This window comes from Homo sapiens, chromosome 5 (genome assembly GCF_000001405.40).
Source record: "Homo sapiens chromosome 5, GRCh38.p14 Primary Assembly".
Classification (NCBI taxonomy): domain Eukaryota; kingdom Metazoa; phylum Chordata; class Mammalia; order Primates; family Hominidae; genus Homo; species Homo sapiens.
Window position 1 is genome coordinate 70,766,035 of NC_000005.10, and position 17,925 is coordinate 70,783,959.

At 44.5% G+C, this 17,925-nt stretch overlaps 2 pseudogenes across 2 annotated transcripts in view, besides 2 other annotated features; one reads left to right on the plus strand and one right to left on the minus strand.

Moving 5' to 3' along the window:
- The window catches only part of GUSBP16 (GUSB pseudogene 16), a 153,001-nt pseudogene that overhangs the window by 46,246 nt on the left and 88,830 nt on the right, over positions 1–17,925 (plus strand). The window lies entirely within an intron of this gene.
- LOC101929599 (putative POM121-like protein 1-like pseudogene) lies at positions 8,058–13,052 on the minus strand (annotated as a pseudogene). Its single transcript, NR_157804.1, has one exon. The product of NR_157804.1 is annotated as a putative POM121-like protein 1-like pseudogene, transcript variant 1 (transcript).
- Positions 11,548–12,130: an enhancer, noted in NCBI's record as "H3K27ac-H3K4me1 hESC enhancer chr5:70073409-70073991 (GRCh37/hg19 assembly coordinates)". NCBI's record gives its function as "activates a minimal SCP1, AML or CMV promoter by ChIP-STARR-seq in naive H9 embryonic stem cells {active_cell/tissue: H9 hESC(naive)}" and the evidence as "EXISTENCE:reporter gene assay evidence [ECO:0000049][PMID:30033119]".
- Positions 12,131–12,713: an enhancer, noted in NCBI's record as "H3K27ac-H3K4me1 hESC enhancer chr5:70073992-70074574 (GRCh37/hg19 assembly coordinates)". NCBI's record gives its function as "activates a minimal SCP1, AML or CMV promoter by ChIP-STARR-seq in naive H9 embryonic stem cells {active_cell/tissue: H9 hESC(naive)}" and the evidence as "EXISTENCE:reporter gene assay evidence [ECO:0000049][PMID:30033119]".

A 17,925-nucleotide genomic window follows, 5' to 3' on the forward strand; every position in this document is an offset into this window, starting at 1 on the left:
TGGACAGGTTTCCTCAACTTTCGTTCCACTCTTTGAAGAGGTTAGAAAATTAAAACAAAACAAGCAATGCAGCTTCCCTTGAGCTAGCTTTATGCATGCAGCTTAGACCACTTACCGATTGTTTGCATATGAATCAGACTTAGAAAAATGGAAGAGATCAAAGCCTGTCTTGCTATTGTTGATTCTGGCAAGTGAAATCATGGGGACAATAGTTCAGAAGTAGTGGAAGTGGTAGGATTCAATATCCTTGTGCCTAATCCCCAGTTTCATGGGCATAAGAGGCTTAAAGTTTTAATAGCAGGAGCATCTTTTTGACCCAGGATTGCAGAAATGATTGCGTGCCTTTGAATTCAAGAACTCAAAACCTTCCTCCATGCCACAGCTACTTTAGTTATTTTAGCCCTTCCTATTGTATATGTATGAAATGCACTTTCTGCTTAAGATACCTATTGCGGTTTTTATTTCCTTATTAAAACCTTGGAAAAATATAGCACTTAAATTATGTTTTGTAGAAATTCACTAAGCAAATAAAGCTAAAGGGGGAGAGAGTTAACCTTCTCTGCCCCCTTTTTATCAGAAGTTAGTTGTAGAAGAAATACACAATTTTTGCGCAATGTTAGCACCATCTAAGTTCTGTAGGTCTGGAACACAGACTGGTTAAATGAGCATTTCAGGAGCGCTATAGTTGCAAAGTTAAGCAGTCACCACAATTTTATGTGTCATACAAAGATTTTTAACTTTATGTTTAAGCAACGAGCCTAGAAGCAAATGGTATTTCCATCAAGAATTGTCTCATATAAAGTAGAGCGTTTTGGAAAATGGAGTTATTAATAGATAAAAACATGTTTATACAGTTGGTTTCTAAGTATGACAAACCTATTTCTTGGTAAATTGCAAGTCCATTCCACCTGTGTTTGTAGGCTCATTTGCCTAAAAGTCTTGGGATTTTTTTCTGATGATCTATTAAATTTTCTTTCTGATTATCTTTTCTAATGCTGTAATAGCATTTCTAACACTGTAATGAAAGAGAACAAAAGTACACGCTTGCTCATCATTTACTAATTCTAAAAATATATATTGAATACATCTATGTAGCAGGTACTGTGGTAGGTGTGGAAGATAGTTGAGACAGGTAACAAGCCCAACATTACGGAGCTTAGCATCACCACCTAGAAGAGTTTTTAAAAAACATAGATAAGTGAATCATGATTATAAAGACAAAGAGATTCTTGCCATATAATTACATATAAGCAAATTTAGGATGTGATGAAAGATTTTGATATTGGTCTTCTGATTTGGCTGTAGGATGAAGTGTTTATAAGTCATCCCAAGGAAGAAACAATTCAGATGAGAACTATTCAATGGATTTGCAATAACAATCCAAAGATGGAAGAAGACACTTCTAGGTAGACAAAATTGCAAGTATAGAGAATGTAAATTAAGAGAGAGCTTAGCTTTCAGATGAATTAAAAGATTGTGGTGATCAGAATGTAGAGATTGACGAGAGACAAATGAAATAAAACTAGAAGGACAAGTAGAGATTTGTGGGTCAAGTTTTAAAATTTTATTATAAATGCACTGATACTGTTCTGAACATTTTCTTACACATGGAAATTTAATGATTATGGCTATTGAAAAATGTAACTCTTCATTTATATTTTTCCGAGAATGAAATCGGTGGAATTGCTGGGGGGTGAAAATGTCCAATGCGAAACAGGAGGCTAATTTAAGAAGGGATACTGCAAAATTGGTCATGATGGCTCAAACTGCTGTTCATAATAGAGAGAAGAAAATGGATAGAGTTACATATGGATGAGAGTAAATTGACAAGGCTAAATGCTAAAACGTGGGTAGTGACAGAAAGTAGGTGTCAAAATAGACTTCCAGGAAAAGAAAAAATGGGTCTACAGAAGAGCCAAATGCTGATGTGGGTTACATGATCCTGAGCAGATGCAGTTGTAATTGGTTAAGTAAAGTAAGTTCTTAAGATAGATTTGGCCTGGCGCTATACATTCTAGAGCCCTTGAATATAAGTGGGATATAAAACCATGGGAATGACTGTATTTGTCTAAGGAGAGAATTTGGCAGAAGAAAAGGAGACATAAGATGAAATGCAGAGGAAATTCAAATTTAATTGGCAGGTGTAGGAAGACAAGGAGATGACAAAAGGAACTGGAAATGAGTAATCAGAGACAGAAAAGTAAAAGTAAGAGTAGAATGTCATGGAAGGCAAATAATTGGAATGTTTCAAGATCAGGGAAATGGGCAATAAAGAGAAGAAAAAAATAGTGACCAGAGGGTATAGTAATGTGTAGAAATTCATCCTGTGTTAGGTTTGATTGCTTAGACGTTTTATATAAAAATCTTTCCCAGAGAGTAATAAAACAGAAGTGAGGTTAGAGAAAGAACATACGATTTAGCCAAAAGGTGGGAAAAGTTAGGAAATGAAGAATAAATATGTTTAAAGATAATGTTATGGCTACTCAATGTACAACCTCTTTTCTTTCATTATTTTTAATTGTCATATTTAAAAATAGTAATTACCACTTTTAAAAATTGTCTTATTATTTGTTACATAAGAAAATGCATTAATTCAAGCCACATAGTATCATTTATATTATGACTGTCGAAACATTACTAGAATTACTAGAACTATTAACCTAATGGCCTGAAAATTTCAACTCACTTCCCTAGCTGTCCTGATGATCATTAGTGAAAGGAAAGACTCCATTAGATAATGCTTACTTATAGAGAACTGGTTATATCTGTCTCATTTCCATACATATATCTGTATAAATTAATTTGATTAATAAAACAAACACAAGGCACAAACAACAAAACACAATTTATAAATGTCATTGAAAAATGCATGCCTGTACAATTTGGGTATTTGTAATTGTAAATTGATATACTTCATTTTTTATCCAGGAGTTACTTAGATTGAAACTTTACCTAATGTATGATAAAATAATACGTGATTAAATTTAAAAACATGATGAATTTATTTAAAATTGGCTTCAATAATGTCAGAAAGTAATAAAATAAAATGATTCCTTCAAAGACTGCACCTGTTTATTGCCTGAGATTATCTCTCTTGGCCACAAATCAATATTACTTTCTTTCATTCATCAGTGATAAAGCTTTTCAATAATTCTAATTTTAAAGGATGATTACAGCAAGTATATAGTCATTGATTGCTTAAAGGTTGCAGCTAAAATGAACACAATGGTCATTTTATTTTTAATAAATGAGCCCTTTTGAAAAGTCAAGCATTTTTCCTCTCACAAAACTTTGTGTAATAAGATTATAGATTTGATCATGTATGAGTTTGCACTGTGTGTGTGTATATATGTGTGTGTGATTTCAGCGATAAAGTTCACTGTTCCACAGCTGGCAATTTCTTCTGCTTAATTGAAAATTCCGTTTTAAAATATTTCTTTAAAGTTCTAAAATGGGTTTAAATGGGTTCATGAGCTGTAATACTATTAAAAATATATATATCTACATATTTGTTGATTCTTCTCAGTTTAAGAAGTGGAGCTTCATACTCCTCCCCTTGAAGGCAGGCTAAGCTGAGTGACTCCCATCTAAGAAATAAAACACCACAGGATTGGAATGTTACCTTCTGAGACAAGGTCACAAAGGCTAGGGTTTTAATTTTGAGTGAACTAATTTGCTCCTTACTGGTGTTTCTCTCTCTTTCTCTCCTTCAACTCTTTACGAGCCCAGCCACCATGCAAATAATTCCAAACTATCTTTTCTAGAAAGCTCACATGAAGAACCGAGGCATCCTATCTGATATCCAGCCAAATGATTAAACATTCTAGAAGCAGACTATGATGCACTGAATTTGTGAAATCCTAACCCCCAGTGTAATGATAGTAGGAGGTGGAGCTTTTGGTAGATGATAGTCTGTCTTCATGTTGGGGATTAGTGCCTTGATTATTATTTTTTATTTTTATTTTTATTTATTTATTTATTTATTTTTTGAGACAGAGTTTTGCTCTGTTACCCAGGCTGGAGTGCAGTGGTGCCATGTCAGCTCACTGCAGCGTCTGCCTCCTGGGTTCAAGTGTTTCTTCTGCCTCAGCCTCCTGAGTAGCTGAGTAGCTGAGACTACAGGTACGCACCACCACACCTGGCTAATTTTTGTATTTTTAGTAGAGACGGGGTTTCACCATACTGGCCAGGCTGGTCTGGAACTCCTGACCTCGTGATCTGCCTGCCTCAGCCTCCCAAAGTACTGGGATTACAGATGTGAGCCACCGTGCCCAGCCGGGGATTAGTGCCCTTGTAAAAGAGACCCCAAAAAGCGTCCTTGCCCCTTCTGCCATGTGAGCTAGAGGACAGTAATCTATGAACTAAAAAATGGGCTCTGACCAGACACCAAATCTGCAAGCACCTTGATTTTGCACCATCCAGCCTCCGGTACCATTAGAAACGTTTCTGTTGTTTATAAGCTACCCTGTCTATGGTATTCTGTAGCGACAGTGCAAACAAACTAAGACACGGACCTTCCAACACAAGTTAAAGGCTTCAGGGGATGCTGCCTGGGTCAACAACATGACAGCAACCTTTACTCATGAGAGACTTCGAGTCAGAACCACCTACCCAAATCCATCATTTCCCTGACTTCTATAAATTGTGTCATACATATTTGTTATTTTAAGCCATTAAGTTTTAGGGTAATTTTTAAATGGAAAAATACATGATCATAGGTAAACTATAATTAATAGAAAAATCTAATGCCAATAATATTTACCATTGATTGACCGTCAAAACTCCATTAATTATTTGCTTTCCATTTATATTTATTTTTGGATTTCTTTTTTAAGAGAATGGCACCTGTGACAGCATACTGTTAATATTACCCTTTTATCGTACTTTACCATGCCATCTCTGAAGAATATTACAGACCATTTTGGAGCATGGTGAATAAGAAATTTTCACCTTAGGAGTTCACTTGAATAGTCATTTTTATATTTGTGACTGCAAGTCACTTTTAGGGGCTGTACTTCCTTAGTACTGGTAGCATTATTATCCAATGGACTTTTTTAGCTTTCATTAGGTTTTCTTTTGTTTTTGTTCTTTAAAGAACGTTTTACTTGTCTTAGTATTTCATTTTTTAATCTATACTATGAGGCAGTAAGAGTCTTCTGTTTTTCCAAAGTGGAGACTGCTTTATATTTATTTCGTATTGTCTACAGCTGTAGTGTTCAATACATTAGCCACTAGCCACATGTGGTTATTTAAATAAGATGAAATAAAAATTGGCCGGGCGTGGTGGCTCACGCCGGTAATCCCAGCACTTTGGGAGGCCGAGGCGGGCAGATCATTAGGTCAGGAGATCGAGACCATCCTTACTAAGACGGTGAACCCCCATCTCTATTAAAAATACAAAAAATTAGCCGGGCGTGGTGGCGGGCGCCTGCAGTCCCAGCTACTCAGGAGGCTGAGGCAGGAGAATGGCGTGAACCTGGGAGGCAGAGTTTGCAGTGAGCCGAGATGGCGCCACTGCACTCCAGCCTGGGGGACAGAGCGAGACTCCATCTCAAAAAAAAAAAAGAAAATTAAAAATTAAGTTCTTTAGTTGCACTAGCCATATTTCAAATACTTGATGGATACATGTGGCTAGTGGCTAACATAAGGGATAGCACAGATATAAAACATTTCCTCGTCATATAAAGTTCTATTGGATAGTGCTGGTCTGTAGCTTATAGGATGGTATCTTAGTCTGCTTCAGCTGCTAAAACAGAATACCATAAATTAGGTAGCTTAAACAGTAGATATTTTGACCAGGCGTGGTGGCTTATGCCTGTATTCCTAACACTTTGGGAGGCCGAGGCAGGTGGATAACTTGAGCTCAGGAGTTTGAGACTAGCCTGGGCAGCATGGCAAAACCTTGTCTCTACGAAAATCAGCTGGGCATGGTGGTGCACGCCTGTAGTCTGAGCTACTTGGGAGGCTGAGGTGGGAGAATTGCTTGAACCTGGGAGGCGGAGGTTGCAGTGAGCCATGATCGCACCACTGTACTCCAGCCTGGATGACAGAATGAGACTGTGTCTCAAAAAAAACAAAAACAAACAAACAAAAAAACAGATATTTCTCACAGTTCTGGAGACTGGAAGTGCAAGATCAAAGTGTTGGCAAATTGTGTTTCTTAAAGAGGGCCTGCTTCCTAGATTGGAAATGGCCATCTTCTCTCGGTATCCTCACATGGTAGGGAGAAAAGCAGCTCTAGTGTCTCTTCTTATAAAGGAAGTAATGCCACCATAGGGGCTCTATTCTCATGACCTCATCTAAACCTAATTCTCTCCTAAAGGCCACGCCTCCCAGTATCCTCACCTTGGGGGTTAGGGCTTTATGATATGAATTTTTTTTTTTTTTTTTTTTTTTTGAGACAGAGTCTCGCTCTGTCTGTCACCCAGGCTGGAGTGCAGTGGCACAATCTCGGCTCTCTACAAGCTCCGCCTCCTGGGTTCACGCCGTTCTCCTGCGTCAGCCTCCTCAGTAGCTGGGACTAAGGCGCCCGCCACTGCGCCCGGCTAATTTTTTGTATTTTCAGTAGAGACGGGGTTTTACCATGTTAGCCAGGATGATCTCGATCTCCTGACCTCATGATCCACCCGCCTCGGCCTCCCAAAGTGCTGGGATTACAGGCATGAGCCACCGCGCCCGGCCTATCATATGAATTTTGAGGGAACACAAACATGCAGTCTGTAGCAGATGGTAATAGGCTGACATATTACACTTGTTGATGTAAATCTGATAGGTTTCTTTCTCTCCAAGGACAGCTTTTTAAATATTTAACAGTATCAATAATTTTTCAGGTTCTGTGAGAATTTTATAATTTATAATTTGCAGACTTAACGTATAATCTATTTTGTCCTAACAATTACAAATATATTTTTTATTTCAGATTGTATATATTCCTACCAGATGGAGATAATTACAGCTTTAAAAATTTTTATTTTTTCATTTTATTTCACACATTGACATTAAATTTTTATGGACACATAATAACTGTACATATATATGGGGTAGAATGTGATGTTTTAATACATGTACTCAATGTGTAATGATCAAATCAGGGTAATTTGCATAATGATTTTTCTGTAGGGAGAAAATTCAAAATCTACTCTTCTGGCTATTTTCAAATATATAATATGTTATTGTTAACTATACTCATCCTACTATGCAATAGGACACCAGAACTTATTCCTGGGTTCTACATCCGTTAAGGCAACCAAGGATTGGAAATATTGGAAAAAAAAATTGCGTCTGTACTGAACATGTACAGACTTTTTTCTTGTCCTTATTCCTTACACAATATAGTACAATAACTATTTGCATGACATTTACATCGGATATTATGAGTGATCTAGAGTTGATATGAAGTATATGGGAGGATGTGCAAAGGTGATGTGCAAATACTATGTCATTTTATATCAGGGACTTGAGTATCCTTTGTTACCCTCAGGAGATCCTGAAACCAGTCCCCCATGGATACTGAGGGCTGACTGTATAGTCCTATCCTCACGGAACTTTCATTCTAATGGGGGAAGACTGACTATAAACAAAATATATGTAATAGGTGGTGGTAAGTACCGTGGAGAAGTAACAAATGGGGCAAAGTGAGTTATACAGCTCCATTCTTAGAAACCTTGGAGTACTTTTCTTAGTTTATACTCGTGGTGGTTTCCTTTTGTCTCCTTTATTACATGGGACTCTGACATGTGCCCATAGCTAGGGTGACAGTAGGATCTACCCGATAGTAGGGTGGCAGTAGGATCTACCCAAAAAGCGTCCTGCTGATACAGGACCAAAGCATCCTGTTGTTCTCGAGCCTATAAAAAGAGCTAATGGTGTTGCTTCTCTTAACTGTGGCCTCCTACACTGTGTTTTGGATGATTGGTGATGTCTTGGATATTCTGTTTCTTTGGAACTTTGAATATACAACACTTTACTAGGGAATTAGCAATGGAAGCAGAGCAAAGATGTACAGAGGAAACAATGCGTAACTCTGATGGAATTGAAGTCATGAGGCAGCAGAGAGCTTAAATTACAGCTTTAAAAATTTTTATTTTTTAGAGGGAATTTACTTGGGAGTAACAGCAGTAATAGTTAACGGAGCCAGAATGCTTGAGTCATATAATTGCAAAGCAGAGTTGGGAGCAACAGATGCTAAAGAGTAGTTGCTGTAGTTCCTCTTTGGGTCGTAGGAGCAGTTGTCATATTACTATATAGCTACTGCATGAAGAAGAGTTCTTAGTGAGGCCTGGGTGAACAGCTCTTCTTAGTATTCTGTGTGACCCCATTTGACCTTTTAACAAATCCCTAAGTAAATAAATAGCCCCTCAGGAAAACTAAGTTTTTCTCTGCTGTTTTTTTGCTTGAGAGAGCTATAACTGTAATAGACTTATATTTCTGAACATTTTAGTGCTTGCCAATATTTGGTAATATTTATGTTTCCTATATTTGTAATGAACATTCTTCTTCCGGTACATTTTTTGTTAAATTATTGTTTGATGGATAAAAGTTCACCTTTTATTGTATAAAATTGACTGAGATTAATTTATACACATTGACAATGGGTAAATAGAATTTTTCAGATTATTAAAAGCTGAAGGATGCCCACGTAAGCAAAAAAAAAAAAGAAAAAACCAACAAAAATAAACCCAAACCCCTCAAACAGTTTCGAACACGAAACATTCTTCTGATGCCGGCATCCCTGCTTGCAGGTGTGAAGGGGGCAGGAATCAGCGAGGTGTCCTGGGCTGAGTCCCCGGAGTGGGAAGAGGTGGCAGGAAGGGGATCTGAGGAGGAGAACAGGGGTCCTGGTGGTCTGTGCTTCTTCCCAGACACGGGAGCTGTAGAGGAGACCTCTGCAGCAGATGCTAGGGGGGCCAGTAGGCCCAGGCAGTCTTGGGACTTGGGTCTGTCCTGCTGTGCATCCATAGTGGGTGCTTTAGAAACGGGAGGCCCACCCGAAGCCCCTGTTGCAAGTGAGGACAAAGTGTGGGAAGGCCGTGAGGGTCTGCAGTCCGAGATGGCCTTGTCCTCAACGTGCAGTGCACTGTTGATGCGGGGCCTAGAGGCCTGGGATCTGGGGTAGCCACCCCTGGGGGCGAGTGTCTGCCCTGGTGCTGTACCTGCCTTGTTTTCACAGCGGTGACCCGAAGAGACAGCCTGAGGTCCGTCCTCACTCACTGTGTTTGAGGAACTGTGGGCCAGCTGGCAGTGGGATGAGGCTGGCCCCCTCCTCCGCTTTAGTTCCTGGAGGCCTTCCGTAGAGCTGTGGGAGCTGGAGCTGGCATTTCGTTTGAGGCAGGATCTGGTCCGGGAGGTCTGGGATCTCTGGTTATATCTCACTTCTGACCTCTGGGCACGTGCTGCAGCTGTGGCTGAGGCCAAGAAATGTGAGGGGCCTCCATCCACTGCATTGAGTAGCGACCCCGACGTGGGGTTCAATGTGGAGGGGGGAAGGGCTGCTGCGGCAGCTGCAGGAGCCGAGGTGCCAGGCCTTGTTCTTCTCATGCCGGCATCCCTGCTTGCAGCTGTGAAGGTGGCAGGAATCAGCGAGGTGACCTGGGCTGAGTCCCGGGAGTGGGAAGAGGTGGCAGGAAGGGGATCTGAGGAGGAGAACAGGGGTCCTGGTGGTCTGTGCTTCTTCCCAGACACGGGAGCTGTAGAGGGGACCTCTGCAGCAGATGCTAGGGGGGCCACTAGGCCCAGGCAGTCTTGGGACTTGGGTCTGTCCTGCTGTGCGTCCATAGTGGGTGCTTTAGAAACGGGAGGCCCACCCGAAGCCCCTGTTGCAAGTGAGGACAAAGTGTGGGAAGGCCGTGAGGGTCTGCAGTCCGAGATGGCCTTGTCCTCAACGTACAGTGCACTGTTGATGTGGGGCCTAGAGGCCTGGGATCTGGGGGAGCCTCCCCTGGGGGCGAGTGTCTGCCCTGGTGCTGTACCTGCCTTGTTTTCACAGCGGTGACCCGAAGAGACAGCCTGAGGTCCGTCCTCACTCACTGTGTTTGAGGAACTGTGGGCCAGCTGGCAGTGGGATGAGGCTGGCCCCCTCCTCCGCTTTAGTTCCTGGAGGCCTTCCGTAGAGCTGTGGGAGCTGGAGCTGGAGCTGGCATTTCGTTTGAGGCAGGATCTGGTCCGGGAGGTCTGGGATCTCTGGTTATATCTCACTTCTGACCTCTGGGCACGTGCTGCAGCTGTGGCTGAGGCCAAGAAATGTGAGGGGCCTCCATCCACTGCATTGAGTAGTGACCCCGACGTGTTGTTCAATGTGGAGGGGGGAGGGGCTGCTGTGGCAGCTGCAGGAGCCGACCTTGTTCTTCTCATGCCGGCATCCCTGCTTGCAGCTGTGAAGGTGGCAGGAATCAGCGAGGTGACCTGTGCTGTGTCCCGGGAGTGGTAAGAGGTGGCAGGAAGGGGATCTGAGGAGGAGAACAGGGGTCCTGGTGGTCTGTGCTTCTTCCCAGACACGGGAGCTGTAGAGGGGACCTCTGCAGCAGATGCTAGGGGGGCCAGTAGGCCCAGGGAGTCTTGGGACTTGGGTCTGTCCTGCTGTGCATCCATAGTGGGTGCTTTAGAAACGGGAGGCCCACCCGAAGCCCCTGTTGCAAGTGAGGACAAAGTGTGGGAAGGCCGTGAGGGTCTGCAGTCCGAGATGGCCTTGTCCTCAACGTGCAGTGCAGTGTTGATGTGGGGCCTAGAGGCCTGGGATCTGGGGGAGCCACCCCTGGGGGCAAGTGTCTGCCCTGGTGCTGTACCTGCCTTGTTTTCACAGCGGTGACCCGAAGAGACAGCCTGAGGTCCGTCCTCACTCACTGTGTTTGAGGAACTGAGGGCCAGCTGGCAGTGGGATGAGGCTGGCCCCCTCCTCCGCTTTACTTCCTGGAGGCCTTCCGTAGAGCTGTGGGAGCTGGAGCTGGCATTTCGTTTGAGGCAGGATCTGGTCCGGGAGGTCTGGGATCTCTGGTTATATCTCACTTCTGACCTCTGGGCACGTGCTGCAGCTGTGGCTGAGGCCAAGAAATGTGAGGGGCCTCCATCCACTGCATTGAGTAGTGACCCCGACGTGGGGTTCAATGTGGAGGGGGGAGGGGCTGCTGCGGCAGCTGCAGGAGCCGACCTTGTTCTTCTCATGCCGGCATCCCTGCTTGCAGCTGTGAAGGGGGCAGGAATCATCGAGGTGACCTGGGCTGAGTCCCGGGAGTGGGAAGAGTTGGCAGGAAGGGGATCTGAGGAGGAGAACAGGGGTCCTGGTGGTCTGTGCTTCTTCCCAGACACGGGAGCTGTAGCGGGGACCTCTGCAGCAGATGCTAGGGGGGCCACTAGGCCCAGGCAGTCTTGGGACTTGGGTCTGTCCTGCTGTGCATCCATAGTGGGTGCTTTAGAAACGGGAGGCCCACCCGAAGCCCCTGTTGCAAGTGAGGACAAAGTGTGGGAAGGCCGTGAGGGTCTGCAGTCCGGGATGGCCTTGTCCTCAACGTGCAGTGCACTGTTGATGCGCTGGAATGCCGTCTCTTTTTCCAGGTGCAGGTCTTCAGCCGTGACCCGGTACCCCAGCTCTAAGGGAGGTGGCAGCATCAAAGGCTCCCCTCGCCTGCGTGGCAGCAGGGGAATCTTGCGTCTACGGGGCCTAGAGTCCTGGGATCTGGGGGAGCCACCCGTTGGGGCGATTGTCTGCCCTGGTGCTGTATCTGCCCCCTTTTCACACCGTGTGTGACCCGAAGAGACAGCCTGAGGCCTGTCCTCACTCACTGTCTTTGAGTAACTGAGGGTCAGCTGGCAGCGGGATGAGGCTGGCCCCCTCCTCTGCTTTAGCCCCGGCAAGCCTCCCGTGGAGCTGTAGGAGCTGGAGATGGCATTTCGTTTGGTGCTCGAGCTCGTCCAGGATGTCTGGGATGTGTGGTTATATCTGATTTCTGAGCTCTGGGCGTGGAGGTCTGTCTGCAGAGGCCCGGGCCTGGGCACAAAGGGAGAGGGGCCTCCATTGTCCCGCAGGGGCCAAAATGCAGACCGTGCATCCCCGGTGACCTCGGGGACCGTTCTCTGATCATCAGGATTTTCTTGGACTCTGGGGTCCTTGTCCTGCTCAGGCATCCCTGCCCCGCTCTCCTTGAGGGCCCTCAACACTATCTTCCCTGGACACAAGTCTGGGGACAGCCGGGTGTTGTGGACCCCAAAGGGGTGACTACCTGCTCCTGGGCCCCACAGAGTCCTTGTGCTCAGTGTAGTGGCTGAGCTGGGGGATGCCCTGGAACTCGGAGCACACAGCACTGGCTTACTGTGGTACCTGTGCAGTGAAATTGAAGACAGAATCACCAGGATGGAACACAGGTCTTGCAGGATCACGGAAAACCTTCTTAGAGTTGTCTTGACACCAGTGATGTCGAGTGTGCGGGTGTTTGTAGGATGGCCTGCCACTCAGTCCAGGGGCAGGAGCAACGGGGAGATCCCACAAGCAAAGTGAACTGGGGGATGGGCTGAAGGGGCTCCAGGCAACTGAGCCCTACTCGCAGGTCCTCGGCCTTGGCCCAAACAGGAATGAGGGGCACAGAGTGCCCGGGTAACCGCTCCTGGGAGCAGTGGGGAACTGTCGGATACTTGAACTCTCAAGAGCTGGGCTCTGAGCGTCCTCGTCCAGCTGCCAACTTGGCCAAAGGCTAAGCCAGCAGATTGTTCTGTTGCCGGGCAACGCGACTTCTAAACCTGAGGGAGTGGGCATGTGAGCACATAATGGCACCAGTGACAGAGCGACCATAATGGATGAATAAGCGCAGCCAGGTACCCGCGCAAGGCACCTGCTGGCAATGGCAGGAGGCGGACGTGGGGGGTCGTGCAGTAGGTACTGGAGGGAGAGACGTGGGCACAAAGGTCGCGGGAGGAACAGGTGCCCACAATGGCTGCATATTTGCCCGTGGATCACTGAAGATTCCTGCTCTCCTGCTGAGGTGGAGACTGCAGTGAGCTGAGATCGCACCATTGCACTCCAGCCTGGGCAACGAGTGCAAAACTCAGTCTCCAGATAAAAAAAAGAAAAAGAAAAAAAAGAGGCCGGGTGTGGTGGCTTATGCCTATGATCCTAGCACTTTGGGAGGTCGGGGTGGACGGATCACGAGATCAGGAGTTGGAGGCCAGCCTGGCCAACATAGTGAAAGCCCGTCTCTAGTAAAAATACAAAATTTAGTCAGACATGGTGGGCAGGAGAGAGCATGTGCAGGGGAACATCCATTTATAAAACCATCAGACCTCATGAGACTTATTCACTACCATGAGAACAGCATGGGGGAAACTGCCTCCATGATTCAGTTATCTCCACCTGGCCCCACCCTTGACACATGGGAATTGTTACAATTCAAGATGAGATTTGGGTGCGGACAGAGCCAAACCATATAATTCTTCCCCGGCCCCTCCCAAATCTCATGTCCTCATATTTCAAAAGCAATCGTGCCTTCCCCTAAGTCCCCCAAACTCTTATTTCAGCATTAACTCAAAATTCCGTAGTCCAAAGTCTCATCTGAGACAAGGCAAGTCCCTTCCACCTATGAGCCTGTAAAATCAAAAGCAAGTTAGTTATTTTCTAGATACACAGGGATACAGGCATTGGGTAAATACACTCGTTTCAAATGGGAGAAATTGGCCAAAGCGAAAGAGCTACAGGCCCCATGCAAGTCCAAAACCCAGCAGGCAAATCTTAAAGCTCCAAAATGACCTCCTTTGACTCCATGTGTCACATCTAGGTGATGCAAGAAGTGGGTTCCCAGGGTCTTGGGCAGCCCCGCCCCTGTGGCTTTGCAGGGTACAGCCCCCCTTCTGGCTGCATTGAGTGTCTGCAGCTTTTCCAGGCACACAGTGCAAGCTGTCAGTGGATCTACCATTCTGGGGTCTGGAGGATGGTGGCCCTTTTCTCACAGCTCTGCTTGGCAGTACCCCAGTGGGGACTCTGTGTGGGAGCTCCAACCCCATATTTCTCTTTGACACTGCCCTAGCAGAGGTTATCCATGAGGGCCCCCCCCTCCCCTCCCCCCCACAGCAAACTTTTGCCTGGATTTCCAGGCATTTTCATACATCTTCTGAAATGTAGGCGGAGGTTCATGAACGTTAATTCTTGACTTTGGTGCATCTGCAGGCTTAACACCACCTAGAACCTGAAAGGCTTGGAACTTGCACCCTCTGAAGCCATGGCCTGAGGTGTACCTTGGCCCCTTTTACCTATGGCAGGAGCAGCTGGGATGCAGGGCCCCAAGTTCCTAGGCTGCACACAGCAGGGGGTTCTGGACCCACAAAACCATTTTTCCTTCTAAGCCTCCTGGCCTGTGATGGGAGGGTCTGCTGTGAGGGTCTCTAACATGCCCTGGAGACATTTGCCCCATTGTCTTGGTGATTAACATTTGGCTCCTCATTACTTATGCAAATTTCTACAACCCAGTCTCCTGAGAAAATAGATTTTTCTTTTCTGTTGCATCATCAGGCTACAAATTTTCTGAACTTTTATGCTCTGCTTCTTCTCGAATGCTTTGCTGCTTAGAAATTTCTTCTGTCAGATACCTTAAATCATCTCTCTCAAGTTCAAAGTTCCACAGATCTGTAGGGAACTCTAGAAAGAAATTCTTATTTTCCCTCTTTCCCGCCTATCTTATGCCCGTTTCTAATACAGGTGCACAATGCCTGCAGTGTCTTTGCATAGTAAGAGTGACTTTACTCCATTTCCCAACAAATTCCTCATCTCCCTCTGAGACCACCTCCGCCTGGACCTTGTTGTCCATATCACTATTAACATTTTGGTCAAAGCCATTCAACAAGTCTCTAGGAAGTTCCAAACTTTCCCACATTTTCCTATCCTCTTCTGAGCCTTCCAAACTGTTCCAGCCTCTCCCTGTTACCCATTTCCAAAGTTGCTTCCACATTTTCGGGTATCTTTACAGCAGCACCCCACTCTACTGGTATCAACTTATTGTATTAGTCTGTTCTCACACCGCAAATAAAGACATACCTGAGACTGGGTAATTTATAAAGGAAAGAGGTTGAATTGACTCACAGTTCTGCATGGCTGGGGAGGCCTCACAATCATGGTGGAAGGCAAGGAGGTGCAAAAGCATGTCTCACATAGTGGCAGGCAGGAGAGAGCATGTGCAGGGGAGCTCCCATTTATAAAACCATCAGATCTCATGAGACTTAGTCACTACCGCGAGAACAGTATGGGGGGAACCATCCCCATGATTCAGTTATCTGCACCCGGCCCCACCCTTGACACGTGGGAATTATTACAATGCAAGGTGAGATTTGGGTGGGGACCCATCCAAACTATGTCAGTATGTTTTGACTTCTTGCTTGATTGCTAGGTTGCATAGAGGACAAACATGGAAATTAATGAAGTACCTTAATATCTGGCTTCAGATCTTAGACAGGATCAGAGGGCCAGCTCAAATTTGCAAGGAGGGGAGGTAGATCCCACCATTTTATGGGTGAATGGCAAAATCAAACAGAAATTATGTGGGATGGGAGATACTGATGCAGGCATCTTTGGAAACATTCTACTTAGCTAATTTTATGCTAGGCTTTAGGTCAAGAAGGAGAGAGAGAGCTGACATGCTGTGGTACACACTTATAGTCCCAGCGACTTGGAAAGCTGAGGCAGGAGGATTGCTTGATCCCAGGAGTTTGAGGTAGTGTGCGATGATCGTTCTTGTGAATAGCCACTAGCCACTGAACTCCAGCTTGGGCAACATTGAGACACCCTGTCTCTTAATTTAAAAAAAAAAAAAAAAAAAGGAAAGAAAGTGGTCTCAGTTTTTAATGTAAGTATTTTTAATGGGATAATGATATTTTAAGATTAATGTATATTGTATATCAGTTAACTGTAGGTCAATAATTATATAAAACTTAAGGTATGAAAAACATTTATTTTTGCTAACATATCTGTGAGTTGACTGTTCTTGGCTTGGTGAGGCTGCAAGCTGCAGATAGAGTCTAGGTATGTTTTCTGTGTGTTTGTTCCCCCTTGGATCAGTGGACTACCTGAGAATGTGTTTTTGTCACAGTGATAGAATCACAAGGAAACTCCAGTTCTGGAAGTACATTTTAAGCCATTGCTTCTCTCATGTCCACTAACATTCAGTCAGCCAAAGCACATACCTTGTCCATGGCTAACATTGATAGTATAGATAAATATACCTGATCTCTAGCAGGAGGAACTGCATTGTCTTGGGGAAAGGTTTTAGATATAGGGAGGGGTGATGAGTTGGGAACAATAATGTAGTCTGCCACAAACATATTAAAGTGTAACTGGATATGGTTGCTGCAGAATTTTGAACCTTTGTTTTAATTGTGATTTTTACTCTTTTCCCCCTATCTAGTGCCCTTTTGTAATACAGTAATTATCATGATTTTTGTCTGAACTGAAATCTTCTGAGATTAGATTGTCTACGAAAATACAGTCGATCCTCCTTGTTTTCAGCTTTTGTATTTGTGAACTCACCTACTATTTTTTGTAACCCCCAAATCAGTACTCACAGCACTTTCATAGTCATGTGTTTGCGCAGAGTGTCAAAGAATTTGAGTTTGAACAGGATGATATTCTGCCTTCTTTTTCAGCTCTCATACAATAGTCAGGTATCCTTTTTGTGGTCTGTTTAATGCCATGCTTTTCCTGTTTTTGTACTGTTTGTTGGTTGTTTTGCCATTTAAATTAACCCCCAAGCATAGTGCTGAAGTGCTGCTTAGCATTCACAAGTCCAAGAAGTCTGTGATGTGTCTTACAGAGAAAATACATGCATTAAATAAACTCCATTCAGGCGTGAGTGCTGTAGTGCCGTTGGCTGTGAGTTCAATGTTAATGAATGAACAATGTATATTATTTATTTATTCTTCATTTAATTAATTATTATTATTATTTTTTTTGAGATAGAGTCTCACTCTGTTGCTCAGGCTGGAGTGCAGTGGTGCAGTCTTGGCTCACTGCAACCTCTGCCTCCTGGGTTCAAGCGATTCCCCTGCCTTAGCCTCCCAAGTAGCTAAGACTACAGGCATGCGCCACCATGCCTGGCTAATTTTTTTTTTTTTTTTTTTTTTTTGTAGTTTTAGTAGAGACGGGGTTTCACCACGTTGGCCAGGCTGGTCTCGAACTCCAGACCTCAAATGATCTGCCCGCCTTGGCTTCCCAAAGTGCTGGGATTACAGGCGTTAGCCACTGTGCCTGGCCAACAATATATATTAAATAAGCACACATACAACAAAAGTAGGTGTTGGTAAGCTTACAAAAGTGTGACCAGTAGCTTGCTGAAACCTAACTTTTTATTTGTTCATGGAACTTTGTAGATCGTAACTACACTGAATAATGAGAATCTGCTGTAATCTTTTTAGGTGCTGTAGATGAGCCATTGGATTAAATTATTACAGTATGTTTCAGACTGCTGTATGTTGAACCCTAGTGAAATGCCTCTCAAACCTTCATAAGGATCACAATCTCATGTCCTTTTTTTTTTGTTATTAAATGCCCAGTATGTGTTAGCGATTTAAACAAAATTCAAATATTTTTTTTTTTTTTTGAGACAGAGTCTCGCTCTGTCACCTAAGCTGGAGAGTGCAGTGGTATGATCTCGGCTCACTACAACCTCTGCCTCCCGGGTTCAGGCGATTCTCCTGCCTCAGCATCCTGAGTAGCTGGGATTACAGGCACCCGCCACCACGCTGGGCTAATTTTTGTATTTTTAGTAGAGACGGGGTTTCGCCAGGTTGTCCAGGCTGGTCTGGAACTCCTGACCTCATGCGATCTGCCTGCCTTGGCCTCCTGAAGTGCTGGGATTATAGGCGTGAGCCACCATGCCCGGCGTTGACTTCTTAATAATAACCATACTGACTGGTGTGAGATGGTATGCCATTGTGGTTTTGATTTGCATTTCTCTAATG